Source organism: Homo sapiens, chromosome 15 (genome assembly GCF_000001405.40).
Source record: "Homo sapiens chromosome 15, GRCh38.p14 Primary Assembly".
In the NCBI taxonomy this organism is placed as follows: Eukaryota; Metazoa; Chordata; class Mammalia; order Primates; family Hominidae; genus Homo; species Homo sapiens.
Genome location: NC_000015.10, coordinates 45,356,861 through 45,372,331, shown reverse-complemented (window position 1 = coordinate 45,372,331; position 15,471 = coordinate 45,356,861). Strand labels below are relative to the sequence as shown.

The 15,471-nt window shown below is 37.7% G+C and overlaps 1 protein-coding gene across 6 annotated transcripts in view; it reads left to right on the top strand.

The window, feature by feature from the left end:
• Window positions 1-11,208, top strand: part of GATM (glycine amidinotransferase) — a 41,104-nt gene extending 29,896 nt beyond the window's left edge. For all 6 annotated transcript variants that reach the window (XM_047432387.1, NM_001321015.2, XM_047432385.1 and 3 more), the window contains 7 exons: window positions 2,811-3,006; window positions 4,072-4,262; window positions 5,824-5,961; window positions 6,122-6,286; window positions 7,472-7,535; window positions 8,316-8,432; window positions 10,111-11,208. In XM_047432387.1, the coding sequence (XP_047288343.1) occupies window positions 2,811-3,006; window positions 4,072-4,262; window positions 5,824-5,961; window positions 6,122-6,286; window positions 7,472-7,535; window positions 8,316-8,432; window positions 10,111-10,223 (984 nt within the window). In that variant the 3' untranslated portion in view covers window positions 10,224-11,208. The remainder of the gene's footprint in view (window positions 1-2,810; window positions 3,007-4,071; window positions 4,263-5,823; window positions 5,962-6,121; window positions 6,287-7,471; window positions 7,536-8,315; window positions 8,433-10,110) is intronic.

Below are 15,471 nucleotides of genomic sequence, written 5' to 3'. Positions count from 1 at the left end.
AGAGCTAATTAATGATTCAGACCCCAGGCGTCAGCAAACTTCATCTTTCTACCAGATAATAAGTAATTTAGGCTTTGCAGACCATCGGTCTCTGTTGCAACTACTCAACTCTCAGCTGTGCCATTGTAGTGCAAAAGCAGCCATAGACAATACGTAAACAAATGAATGTGCCTGCGTTCCTGTAAAACTTTATTTACAAAAACAAGCAGCAGGCCAAATTTGCCTATGGACCTTTTTTTACCAGCCTCTGTTTAAGACTTTCACTGGCATCATTCAGTTTTTCTAAAGACCTGTTTCTTGGCTTATTCCTTATTCACCAAGCTAGGTTCCAGCGTAACTGATGTGAACCTGGATATTGAACTAACCAGAGATGGGTCCACTTTCATATATTTGATATTTGTCAGACTGAGATAAAAATGGAAGTCGAGACACAAAATCTAGAAAAGATATTGTTTTTGACATTAAAGAGCTAAACATCTAGACATTTGATCAGTCTTGATGAGTAAAAGCCATTGGGACAATTTGAACTTGTTAAGCAATTCCAGTCTTAAAAGTTTTTGCACATCTAGTTAGAAGTGTTCAAACCAGTATAACATGGCCAAGTCCCATGATGTATTAGGGACACTCTTTGAGTAACAGTCAGAGAACTTGAGTTCTAGTCCTGCTTGTCCAGATAGCTAGCAAGCATGTGACCTGCCAGAGCCTCTTTCCTTACATGTGAAATAAGCATATGAGAACTTGCCCTGTTTCTTTGATAGGATTGCTGGGAAACCAAATGAGAATATCCAGCTAAAGTAGACACACTGTGACACACTTGAGCCCATTACCAAGTTTTACACCTTTCTAGTACTTATTGCTATCTGAAATTATCTGATTTATGGTGGAGACTGTCATATCTGACATGATCAGGACTAGTAGTTTGTCAGTTCATCAATTATATAAATAAACATTTTTAAAATACCTGCTTTAACCAGTTTTAAACAAAAATTTAAATTAAAACACTTAAAACATTTTTAAACTTAAAATATATCAATGTACATTGCTTTGCTAATCTTTTGATGAAGGTTCAAGGCTTTTTCTTAGAGTCTGGATTCTCTGATTGGCGTTCTGCTTCATTTAGCTTGAAAAATGGGAAGATGCATCACGTACATTTCTCAATGTATTTATGATTGAGAAATTGACTAAGAACTTAGACATTTGGAAAACAATCTGAATGCAGAATCTGTCTAGATTTTTACATTTTTGAAAACCAATATTTTGGCCGGGCATGGTGGCTCACACCTATAATCCCAGCCCTTTGGGGGGCCGACGCGGGTGGATCACGAGGTCAGGAGATTGAGACCAGCCTGGCCAACATGGTGAAACCCTGTCTCTACTAAAAATACAAAAAATTAGCCGGGCGTGGTGGCATGCGCCTGTAATCCCAGTTACTCAGGGAGTTGAGGCAGGAGAATCATTTGAACCTGGTGGGAGGCGGAGGTTGCAGTGAGCTGAGATGGTGCCATTGCACTCCTGTCTGGGCAACAGAGTGAGACTCCATCTCAAAAACAAAAACAAACAAACAACAATATTTAACAGCTGTTGCACCTACCCTATTCAACAATAATTTTTAGCAAACTGATTGAGCCATTTTAAAGCATTCAAATGTTTTCTCTTTAGTTGTCTTCTAAAATACACATAGCCCTGGAAACTTTCTAAATTTTTTTTCAGTTATTAAAAATTTGTGAATTTGCTTATCATATCACTTCCTTGTATGACAAAAAGACTTGAAGAGATGTGAGAGCTGAATGGATTAGAAAAAGGAGAGGTGTGGTTGGTATGAGGCATATTGACAGGGAATTACCAAAGGCAGATTTGCACTGTCACACAATTTTGGCAAGTGTTAATTCTGTTGAATGGGAAAATCAATAATGTTTTTTTTTTTCTTTTTCTTTTTCTTTTTCTTTTTTTTTTTTTGAGACAGAGTCTCGCTTTGTCACCCAGGCTGGAGTGCAGTGGCACGATCTCAGCTCACTGCAACCTCTGCCTCCTGGGTTCAAGCAATTCTCCTGCCTTGGCCTCTGAAGTAGCTGTGACTACAGGCACGTGCCACCATGCCTGGCTAATTTTTGAATTTTTAGTAGAAATGGGGTTTCCCCATGTTGGCCAGGCTGGTCTTGAACTCCTGACATCAAGCTATCTGCCCGCCTCAGCCTCCCAAAGTGCTGGGGTTACAGGCTGAGCAACCATGCCTGGCCAATAATGGGGTTTTAAGAGAAATAAAGCATATTTGAAAGTATGCTCCTGATCTTAACGGGGCAAAATATCTTTTTTTTTCCCTTCACAAAATATCTTGAGGTGCTATTTTCTAGACAGAATTCTGAGATGCATGGATAGCCCATGGTTTTGGCTTAGTATAAGTGCTTTTATTCTCTTATGCTAGTTTGTGTGTTCTCTTGTTTCATTTTATTGAGGCTCTCTAATAGAAGTGCTATGTCCTGTTTTGTCTGCAAAGCATGGCAAAAAAACTGGCCAAGAGGATTCCAAGTCTGTCTGAAGGTAAACATGCTGTTAGTGGTTGGCCATGAGATCTCAGGCAGGAGGAGCAAAAGGCCTCAAAATATCAAGATGTTTTAGAGTTCTTCATTCAACAGATACTGAGTGTCTGCCCAGAGGGCTTATGTGCTCAATGCTAGGGATCAGCACTGAACATGGAGTGGTTGGAGTCTCAATTCCAATACCTTATACAAAGAGCTGTTTACTGCCTATGAACCTATCATGAGCTGTATTTTTCTCCTGTAAGTATTGTGTTTATTTGCTTCTACTTCCAGGCCAACACATATGAAAAGTACTGGCCATTTTACCAGAAGCAAGGAGGGCATTATTTTCCCAAAGATCATTTGAAAAAGGCTGTTGCTGAAATTGAAGAAATGTGCAATATTTTAAAAACGGAAGGAGTGACAGTAAGGAGGCCTGACCCCATTGACTGGTCATTGAAGTATAAAACTCCTGATTTTGAGTCTACGGGTAAGTGATGTCAGATAACTAAACTGCCAGTGTCTGAATTTTCAATTTCTTTCTTAATGTGTAAGGGGAAAGCTCCAAAAAATTTCTTGGAGAGTCCTTTGCTTTGCTAGTTCTTGAAAACTTTAAAGATTTATTTAGGAATGGTTTGGTCCATGTTGATATGATTAAGATGTATACATTCTAAACTCCATTCCATCTCGTGGAATCTCCTTGAAATGACAAGTTTTCCTAAACTTTATAGCCATTTCCTTACATAATAACAGTGGATTCGTTTAATTTTCCTCAAGAACAGAAATTAAAAGGGGAATAGAAACATTTCCATTTTATTTTTAACTGACATTGCTGCATGACTGTTCTTGTGCCTTAGGTCACTGTTCTAATTTCTAGTTTTAGATTGATCCTTGGCTCAATTTTTATCTTGTGATACCGATAGTCCTTTAAGAGCTGTGTTTCTGTATAGCAAGAAAGGAGCTTACAAATGGTGAAAGCTTGGTGGTTCAAGATCTCTTTGTACAAGGACTTTATTCCTTCACTTTTTTTTCTTTTCTTTTTTTTCTGGGCTTCCCCCCCACCACACAATTCATGTTAACAATCTAGTATGTGTTATTCGAATTTTTTGCTATTTTCATATATATATACACACATGTATTTCTAGCAATTTTTTTAACCAAAAAAAGAGGTAATATTATATAGACATTTTTTGTTTGTTTGTTTGAGACAGAGTCTCACTCTGTCGCCCAGGCTGGAGTGTGGTGGCACAATCTCGGCTCACTGCAGCCTTTGCCTCTTGGTTCAAGTGATTCTCCTGCCTCAGTCTCCCGAGTAGCTAGGATTACAGGCACGTGCCACCATGCCTGGCTAATTGTTTTCGTATTCTTTTAGTAGAGATGGGGCTTGACCATGTTGGCCAGGCTGCTCTTGAAGAGGATCAAGTGATCCGCCCGTCTTGGCCTCCCAAAGTGGTGGGATTACAGGCATGAGCCACTGTGCCTGGCCCTATATAGACCTTTTTTGTCTTGGAAATTAACACTACTGAAGTTGTCATGGAATTTTTTGGTCTGACAGGTTTATACAGTGCAATGCCTCGAGACATCCTGATAGTTGTGGGCAATGAGATTATCGAGGCTCCCATGGCATGGCGTTCACGCTTCTTTGAGTACCGAGCGTACAGGTCAATTATCAAAGACTACTTCCACCGTGGCGCCAAGTGGACAACAGCTCCTAAGCCCACAATGGCTGATGAGCTTTATAACCAGGTGAGTCCCTAATTATAGGCTAGCTTATTACTAACTTTTCTAAATGATCCACAAAGAGTAAGATAGAGATTCTCTGATACCTTGTATATATTATGCATTTTAGAAACCGAAAACATCATCTTATTTTTAAAAAGTGATTATTTTATGATGAATATGATAAGAGTAAATGATCCTATGATAATAATAATAATGGCTAACACTTTTTGGTGCTTACCTTGTTCTGGGTCCTGGGTTAAACCCTTTATTTACATCCTCAATCCTGTTTGTTTTTCACAACAACCCTAATCATACTGTAGTATCATTCCATTAGATGGGGAAAAACTTGCCTACAGGTGTACCACTGTTCATTAGTGGAACCAGAAAAGTCACTAGACTGAAGTTCACTTTCTTCTTCTAGAAAAAGAACCTGATCTACAGTTCAAATTCACAGTAAAATGAAATGTATGTCCCTTATTAAATCAGTTACCATTTGATCTTTTATAGAAAAAAATTTAAAAATCAAAATAGCTTCTGGGTTTAAAGACAGAAATAAATAATGAATTAGTTTTGCCACTCCCAATCAAATTTGGCAGGGGAAACATGGCATCTCGTTTTATGGTATGAGTTAAGCTCGGGACCAAATTCCTTTTCTAAAAGAACAGAATGACTTCATCCTGTTTACTTTCCGTACGGTTCATGGAATATTCTCAGAATCAGTTACTGCCTCTGTATCACTTTTTTTTTTTTTTTGAGATGGAGTCTTGCTCTGTCACCCAGACTGGAGTGCAGTGGCGTGATCTCGGCTCACTGCAGCCTCTGCCTCCCGGGTTCCAGCAATTCTCCTGCCTCAGCCTCCTGGGTAGCTGGGATTACAGGTGCATGCCACCATGCCTGACGAATTTTTGTATTTTTAGTAGAAACGGGGTTTCACCATGTTGGCCAGGCTGGTCTCGAACTCCTGACCTCAGGTGATCCACCTGCCTTGGCCTCCCAAAGTGCTGGGATTACAGGCATGAGCCATCTCACCTGGTGTGTACCATTTTTTTCTAAGTACATAGTGCCCCTTCATCCTCAGGGGATATGTTCCAGACTCTCAGTGGATGCTGATACTGAACTCTATATATTTTGTTTTTTCCTGTACATATATACATACCTATGATAAAGTTTAATTTACAAATTAGGCACAGTAAGAGCCTAACAACAATAATGAATAATAAAATGGAACAATTATATAAATATACTTTACTAAAAGTTAGGTGAATGTGGTCTCTCTGTTTCTCTCAAAATATCTTAATGTTTTGGGACGACAGTTGACTGAAGGTAACTGAAACCATGGAAAGTGAAATCATGGGTAAAGGAGGACTGTTGTATCAGGAAATTACTATAATGCTAGTTTCTTGTTTTATTGTTGTTTTGGTTTATTTATCATGGACCCGCTTCTTTCCCAGGCATGTTTTAGTCTAGAACTGAGTAGTAATATTTTGGGAAATGATGTTAAACTAATTTTCTTAGTACTGTATGCCTTATGAATAATTTTCTCATGATCCAGTGCATTGTGTGTGTTCATTCTTGTTCCAATTAGGATTATCCCATCCACTCTGTAGAAGACAGACACAAATTGGCTGCTCAGGGAAAATTTGTGACAACTGAGTTTGAGCCATGCTTTGATGCTGCTGACTTCATTCGAGCTGGAAGAGATATTTTTGCACAGAGAAGCCAGGTGAACGCAGGCTGCCTCTGAAATTTCACACTATATTATTGTATTCTTTACTTCCAAATTAAAATATTTTCATCCTAAATTTTTTTCACCTTGAATATTTTTAGTTTTCTAGACATAGAACCAAATATTTATCGATCGTATGTCTTTCTTTTGTTTTCAGGTTACAAACTACCTAGGCATTGAATGGATGCGTAGGCATCTTGCTCCAGACTACAGAGTGCATATCATCTCCTTTAAAGATCCCAATCCCATGCATATTGATGCTACCTTCAACATCATTGGACCTGGTATTGTGCTTTCCAACCCTGACCGACCATGTCACCAGGTAAGAGATTTCTTGGGACTCTGGAAAAGCAACAGAATCTAGTAACTAAAATAATTGCCACTTTTATTTTAAGCACTTCCATGGTTCCTAATGGTTCTAAATGACAGATTCAGCAGTACTCAACATTATTATGATCAAACATTGGATTCCTTATGGCTTATTACAAGATGTCCACCATGCAGAAATATACATAGTTGACACAATAATTAGTATGGGATCATCAGACTTTGGCCACTTGCTGTTGTCAGAGCCTCAAGTTTGTGCATATGTGTGTATTTTTATCAAACGATGGTGTTATAACTTGCAACAGTGGTTCCACAGCAGCGAATTTTGGACAAGATCATCCTTGCATGGCCAGGGCAATGCCACTGGGCAGTGGTTGTATTCCCTCTACAGTGGGGTAGCCTCCCTTTGGCCAACCCTGCTCTGTAGGGAAAAGTGAAGCCACTGCACTGCAGCTGGTCTATCCCCTTCACCTGCAGCCTCCTACTTTCTGTCCATAGCCTCCTACTTCCAGTTAGGTGATGAGTGATTTTCTGTTACTTGCAAGGCTGCAGTACAACTTTTAAAAACCACTGTTATACTGTGTCACTGTTCATTTCTGTTTTTTATTTTTAAACCCGATGACCATGACTACTTATTCATTTCATTTTATTATCATTTATTCGTATAGTAAGTGGGTATGTGAACACAGGGACGGCTAAGTTGTAAAAGGTCACTAAGGACAATATGGTTCTTTGAGAATGCATAGCTAACAACTGTCTTTATACCATGGTCCTAGATACAAAATGATGGGCAAGAAGTAGAAGGACTGTGGGTTTGATGTAGTCACATTTTTGTTTTCTTGTAACTAAATAGGAAATTTTTCAATTTTTAAAATGAGAATTTCTTAAGGACAGTATCTTTGGTTTTTTAAGTCTCTGAAACCTGAGAAAAGTTAAGACTATCTTTAAAAGCTGTAACATTTCTGTTACTTTTTAACTTTAATCTGGGGATTTTATGTACATTTTTAATTAGGATTCAGACAAAATCACCCAAATGTTTAGAAATTTTAATTTCTTTCTTTTGGAAGCTGAGAAGACAGCTTCTCAAAGAGAATTATTACTGATAAGGGCTATTAGAGACTAATAATAATAATAGTATATGTAGATTTAACGGTTTTGGGGGTTTTTTTTGGTCTTACAGATTGATCTTTTCAAGAAAGCAGGATGGACTATCATTACTCCTCCAACACCAATCATCCCAGACGGTATGTTTACTTTCATACACTGTTAGACTAAAATAATTACTTTAGTGACCAAGGATCTTTCTCCTATAGAGAGCAGCCCAAATGTTAGCAGCTTAGAGAATGTGTTTCCTCAGTAAGGTGTGAAGTGGTGCTTGGGACTGTGAGCATCAGAACAAGGCTGGGACTTGTGTTTGCAACTTTTTCATCCATAGAAAATGAAGTAAGGAGAAGACAGAATAAAACAACATCACGTAAAGCAAGATATGACTTTTTTTTTTTTTTTGAGACAGTGTCTTGCTTTGTCACCCAGGCTTGAGTGCAGTTGTGCAGTCACAGCTCACTGCAGCCTCAAGACTCCTGGGCTCAAGTGATCTTTCCACTCCAGCTTCCTAAGTAGCTGGGACTACAAATGCAGGCCACTATGCCCAGCAAGTTATTTTTTTTTATTTGTAGAGATGATGTCTTGCTGTGTTCCCCAGTGAGGCACCATCTCTGGGCAATAGTCTCAAACTCCTAGGCTCAAGGAATCCTCCTGCCTCAGCCTCCCAAAGTGCTAGGATTATACCATGCCCAGCCAAGATATGACTTTTAAAAGAAAACAGGGTGAAATTCAAATGTATAATGAGTACAGATTGATTCATACCATTTATAGATAAATTGTTTTAAGATTAAAATAAATGTTCACATGGAAAGTGAACTACTGAAAGAACTGAGCTGTCACTTTAATATTCTTCACTTGTAAATCCTTGCTTTAAACAAAAATGATAGCGGACATGGTTTAACAGTTGTTGCTGTTTTTAGATCATCCACTCTGGATGTCATCCAAATGGCTTTCCATGAATGTCTTAATGCTAGATGAAAAACGTGTTATGGTGGATGCCAATGAAGTTCCAATTCAAAAGATGTTTGAAAAGCTGGGTATGTACAACAAATGAAACATGTTGTCATACATGAAAACGTTAAATGAGAAGAACTAAAGAAATGACATGCTAGGTTTGATAAATGGTTTGTCTAATTCAATTTTGATTCCTTTTAGAGGCACCAAGTTATTATTTCACAGAAAGTCAGTATTTTTATTTTCAACACACGTAGCCCCAACAAGTTGGAGATGCATCCTGAGCTCCTGAGACATCCCCTTAACAATAAGTTTATAAATCTTATATGACTTAGCCAACGTTTTGGTGCCCATGTGCAGAAAACCACCCCTTTGCAGGTGAGCAGATAGCTTGTTCAGCCCTTCTTCAAATAAGAAATCATTGTGGGTCCTTTAAAAGTGTCCTGTCATCACATATTTCAAAGGACTCAAAAGGGTACGGATGCAGAAGTGACTTTTATGTGTGATAAGCATAGTTAACAAAGTAGCGAAATGCAAGAAAGTGTGTCAGTAAATCATTCAGTTTTGAACTGAAGAGCAGGACCAGGTTTTACTTAAGTAGTTTACTTATCCTGATATTCAAAATTTAGACCAATGATTCTAGTATTATTGAGAAAAATGTTGAAGGGAAAGGATTTTCATATGAGCTATTATAAAGGGGTGTGTGTGTGTATTTTGAGACAGAGCTGTGTCGCCCAGGCTGTAGTGTAGTGGCGTGACCTCGGCTCACTGCAACCTACACTTTCTGGGTTCAAGCGATTCTCCTGCCGCAGCCTCCTGAGTAGCTGGGATTACAAGCATACACCACCATGCCTGGCTAATTTTGTATTTTTAGTAGAGAGGGGCTTGGCCAGGCTGGTCTCGAACTCCTGACCTCAAGTGATCCATCCACCTATGCCTCCCATAGCATTGGGATTATGGGTGTGAGCTACCATGCGCGACTAGGAAAGTCTTTCTGAATGGCTCATGCCACCTTCCTCTCCCTGGCTATACCAATGGACCCTTTAGTGACTTTGTAGCCTATCCTCCTCTCAAAATAATTAGCTCCTTGAGGAAGAATAATAGATTTTCTTTTTAAAACCCCACTATATCTAACACAACAGATTCTTCCTAAATACCATTGGTTAAATAGGCCATGCACATCATAGCCTTGTCATTACAGATGGTACCAGATTAAACTGATTGTTGGATTTGCTTTGGTACCTGTATAACCATACAAACCCAGATATTAAAACACCAGCTCTGTTCCATTGTTTCCTTATGGTGGCCTGGTGAAGTTAATCTGTATCAGATAAACTCTCCTTATATGTGAATATGTAAAGTCAGCTTTTTAGGTCAGCTAAATTTTGCTTTGCCTACTAAATTAACATGGTAAAATTAGAAACAGTCTGACAAAGTAGTTAATGTATAATTCTAAAAGGCCTTGAGATTTTAGTACTTGACCATTTTGAACATTTGGTAGGTACATCTGCTCAGTCTATTGACTTGTGAATAGTCAATAGAACAAAACTTCAGAGTTCTCTGTTGACTTTTTGGAGAAGATTTTATATTAGCAGATGAAATATAGTTGGTGAAAATAAAATTGGAAGAGAAAATACTATTCTGGGTTGGGTATCCTTAAGGATTAGAACCACAGGACTCCTCCAAGTCTGTAGGCCTACTTTCTCTATGAGAATCGTCATGTTAGTCCATCTAACTGACCTCATCTCTCTTTCAATGCAGGTATCACTACCATTAAAGTTAACATTCGTAATGCCAATTCCCTGGGAGGAGGCTTCCATTGCTGGACCTGCGATGTCCGGCGCCGAGGCACCTTACAGTCCTACTTGGACTGAACAGGCCTGATGGAGCTTGTGGCTGGCCTCAGATACACCTAAGAAGCTTAGGGGCAAGGTTCATTCTCCTGCTTTAAAAAGTGCATGAACTGTAGTGCTTTAAACAATCATCTCCTTAACAGGGGTCGTAAGCCTGGTTTGCTTCTATTACTTTTCTTTGACATAAAGAAAATAACTTCTGCTAGGTATTACTCTCTACTCCTAAAGTTATTTACTATTTGGCTTCAAGTATAAAATTTTGGTGAATGTGTACCAAGAAAAAATTAGTCACCTGAGTAACTTGGCCACTAATAATTAACCATCTACCTCTGTTTTTAATTTTCTTTCCAAAAGGCAGCTTGAAATGTTGGTCCTAATCTTAATTTTTTTTCCTCTTCTATAGACTTGAGAATGTTTTTCTCTAAATGAGAGAAAGACTTAGAATGTACACAGATCCAAAATAGAATCAGATTATCTCTTTTTTTCTAAAGGAGAGAAAGACTTAGAACATACACAGATCCTAAGTAGAACCAGGTAATTGTCTCTTTTTCTAATAAGGAATTTGGGTAATTTTTAATTTTTTGTTTTTTAAAAAATAACCTAGACTATGCAAAACATCAAAGTGAATTTTCCATGAATGTTTTTAATATTCTCATCTCAACATTGTGATATATGCTACTAAAAACCTTTTCATATACATCTTACCTCATTTCAAGTGAATTATTTTAATCTTTTTCTCTCTTTCCAAAAATTTAGGAATGTTTAGTGTAATTGGATTTCGCTATCAGTTCCCATCCTTAAGTTTTGATATTCAATATCTGATAGATACACTGCATCTTTGGTCATCTAAGATTTGTTTACAAATGTGCAAATTATTTAGAGCATAGACTTTATAAGCATTAAAAAAAACTAATGGAGGTAAAACCTAAATGCGATGTGAAATAATTTTAGTGTTGATACCGTATGTGTATTTTTATTCTAATAAACTTTTGTGTTCCAGATTGAATTTGGCATTGGTCTAGTCATTTTAGTATAAGTAAATTATAGGAATGTGGCTCTTGGTACAGAATTCTAATTCTCTAAAATAATCAACATATTCATCACAAAAGTAAACCTAATACATTCAGAAATGTTTAGCAAAGTCAGATTTTTGTTTGTTAATTAATTCACTCATTCAAAAATATCTGAATATCTTCTGAGTATAAGGAGTAATCCTAGGCCCCGGAAGGGAAGAGTCTCTGTTCTTAAGTTGCTGCATGTTTTTTTCTTGAAAAATCTGCATAGAATGTGTACTTTGAAATGAATCACAGGTTTCAACTGTACCCTTACTAACGCCTTGAACTCCTTTGCATCCTGGTGTTCCTTTTACATCCATTACAGAAACACCTGTTAGTCCTACACGTGGACTGAATTCTGCTTGAGAAATCTATCCAGTTGTTTGGATTGGTGCACATTAGGGTATATATTTGCAGGCCTAAATACTACCCAACAATTCTGCTGCACAGTTCTTTGCGTCCTCCTCAGTAGCTATTCCAAACCTTCACTACATTTTCTTAGCTGATCATATTGTTTCATTTTTCACAAAGGAGAGAGAGACCATCAGGCATTAGTTCCTTCAGTTTACGATCCCCTATAGATTTATACACATTTGCATATTCTGGTTAAGTTTCTTTCTCCTTTCCTTTACAGTAAGTAGTTCTCCCTTATCCTCAGGGAATATGTTCCAAGACCCCCGGTGAATGCCTGAAACTATGGGTAGTACCAAACCCTATATATACTATGCCTTTTCTTATACATGCAGACCTATGATAAAGTTTAATGAAGTTAATCTGGTGCAACACATGGCTGTCAGTCGGGAACATGTTTTCTCTTCATGTCTTGCAAACAAAAATGTAATGCCTTTTCCACCTTAACTAAGCACTTATCAATGCTCTGTGACCATAACTTTTGCCATGTGTAGTGCGACAGCAAAACTAGCATGCATTTCTTTTTCCTTTATCACAACTTCACAGATAGGAGATTCGTTCTTACCATGGATCTCAGCAACCTCAACATACAACTTTTTCTTTTCTTGTTGAGAACTTCCACCTTTCCCTTAAAGAAAGCCACTTAGGCTTTACTTTGGTATGTCCGAATTGCCAGCATTAAGACTTGCACTTGAGTCATTATTAAGTAAAATAAGGTTACTTGAATACAAGGACTGTGGTCTGATAACGAGGTGGCTACTAAATGACTGAAGGGCGGGTGGTATATACAGTGTGATACGCTGGAAGCGGGAGGATTCATGTCCCAGGTGGAGGGAGTGGAGTGGGCCAGTGCAAGATTTCATCACGCAGCTCAGAACAGCGTGCAATTTAAAACTTACGAATTATTTATTTCTGCATTTTTCTATTTAATATTTTTGGACCATGGTTGACCACTGGTAACTGAAACTGCTGAAAGTGAAACTTTGGATGAAGGGACTACTGTGCTACCTAAGCTTCCAGAGAAAAAAATCAGGCCTTCATCTCATTGCATGCATTTGCTTCTCAACCATGTATAAAGGGTCTTCTCTCGCTGCTACAGAAAAAGAGGTGAAACTTCTCACCAACTCTAATCCACACAACCGTCCTTTGATCCTAATCTTTCTCTTTTTTCAGAATTTGCTACATCAATTATCATCTTTCTTGTAACTCCAGCACCACCACCGCTCTGTGTGTGTGGGAGGGAGCTTTCCCCCTCAGAAAATAGTCATGCTCAAAACAATCCACAGTGCGGTCTACATCCCTGATCCGTGATCAAGGCCTTATCATGACAAAATGATCACTCCTAGTTTGAGAGCTACCACTTGCTTTGCAATATCATATAATCAAATAGATAATCAAAATGTACATACAGATTCCACACATTTTTAATAACCAGTTGGTTTGGACTTATACAGATAGCTCAACCAACCAAAAATTCTATCATAAGCTTTCTCATATATTTGAACTAACTTTACAACAATTCATTTGCCTACCTGATCTGTAGCAGTGTGTAGTATGTATCTGTTGAGTGATTACAAACTATAATTATTGTTGCTGAAGTCAAAATATGCTTCAGGCCAATCCTGCTCCATAGGGATAATATGCTGAAGGGAATTTAGTTCAATATCCCAATATATTTGATTGTTAATATCAATATTATAAGTTTTATTAGCTTCTAAAATATTAATTTTACCTCATGTGGTCTACCCGCCCCAGCCTCCCAAAGTGCTGGGATTTACAGGCATGAGCACGTGGTTTTATTCCTTCCAATTTTCTATTAACCCATTACTTTGAGGATGAAAAGTAATCTGATAAGCCTACTAAATGTGATGTTTTGGCCCCTAATCCTGTGGAAGTCTTATAGTTAATTATAAATGGTATCATAAAGGAGGAGACCTTCATGGGATTTTATAGGAAGTTGGAGGGACCCACAACTGCTCTCTTCAAACTGCCCAGGGTGTACAAATCCCAAGGCAGATACCAAGGCTGGAAGTAGTGTGAGGCCAGTGAAGTACTCACCATGTCCACAAAATTTAGGGGGACCAAAAAAACCTCGGTAATCCAGATAATAATAATGCAGTATTTTTTAAGCATCAAAATTAATGAAAAAATCCATGATGAACAAAATATCAAAATGTTAAATGAAGACAAGATCAGTATTACTGATGTTTCTTTTGCCTCAGGTTCCAATGTGGCTTGACACGGCACTGACTGTACCCAGGAACTAGAGGTGAAGTGGAAGTAAACCGGCCCTTGTGGTCCGCTATCCAGCTGCCATTCAAATTTTTCAGGTAGCCCAGAAAACCTCTAGCCTAGGTTTGGATGATACCTGATTGCACTTGACCTCCAAGATGTCCACTTGGCCCTCTTCCAAGTGTACTTTACTTTCTTTTCATTCCTGCTCTAAAGCTTTTTAATAAACTTTCATTCCTGCTCAAAAAAGAAAAAAAGAAAAAAAAAAAGACGATACCTGAAAAAATGTAACATTCATCTAGGCTTCAAATTATTTCTAACTATAAAATCTCAAATACAGAGTTCTCCACACAGTCAAATACAGACAGATGCAGGAGGAGAAAATATCCCTCTAGCAAAACAACATTCAAAAGACACATCCACAGGGACTCCAGATACCAGATCGTCAGACACAGACTATAAAGCATCAGCCTACAGTGAAACCCCATACCTATTAGTATAGTAGTCACTCCATTTCTCGCCTGTACCCCCAAGTCCTAGGCAACCAATAACCTACTTTCTGTCCCTGTCATTTTGTCTATTCTGGACATTTCATGTAAATGGAATCATTCAGTAAGTGGTCTTTTGTGATGAACTTCTATCGCTTAGCAAAATATTTTCAAGTTTCCTTCGCTCTGTAGCTCATATCAGTACCTCCTGTATTCTTATGGCCAAATGAAATCCCACTGTATAGATATACACATTTTATTTATCTATTCATCAGTTGCTGAATATTTAGGTTATTTCCACTTTGGGGCTATTATGATAAGGCTGCTGGGAACACTTACATACAAGTTTCTGCGTAGGCATATGTTTTCACTTCTCTTGGGGTATATACCTAGGAGTGGAATTTCTGGGTTATGTGGTAACTCTGTATGCCCTACAGAAAAAAAGTTATATTAAAAAAGTAATAAGAATAAATATAAGCCCACTATTATGCCAACTTAGTGTATGATTTGTATGATTCGTTTATATAATTATTTGTATAATTTTAGTATGATTTTTAAAAGGCAATGAAAATGATCGAAAGGATGAAGTGGCTCCCATGTGAAGACAGACTAAAAAGATTACAATTCAGTCTAGCAGGAGGAAAGTTGAGGAAGTTACAAAATCCAAATTATTAAAATTGCAGTATAGTATCTTGATCGATCAGTTAACTTCTGATTTAATTAACAACTTTCAAAGCACCTCAGTAAGGGAATACAACCTTGATTAAAGAAAAAATAGTTCGAGAACTAAATAACAAAGCTACATGGGAAGCAATAAACTTGTTTTTCACAAAGCAAATAATAAGTATATATGAATATTTATTAATTAACTCTTGAGAACCTACTATATGCTAGGCATCATGCTGGTGCCTTTAAAACATTCTTTATCTCATTTGACTGTTCTAAGAAACATCAAGATAGGTATTATTTTCCTTATTATAAAAGAAAGAAGAAATGGAGATTAAGTGCTCATGATCAAGTCGCACCTATTTTAACCGAAAGTCTTCTCTTAAATTACATCATTTCTTTCCTCCTTTTTAGAGC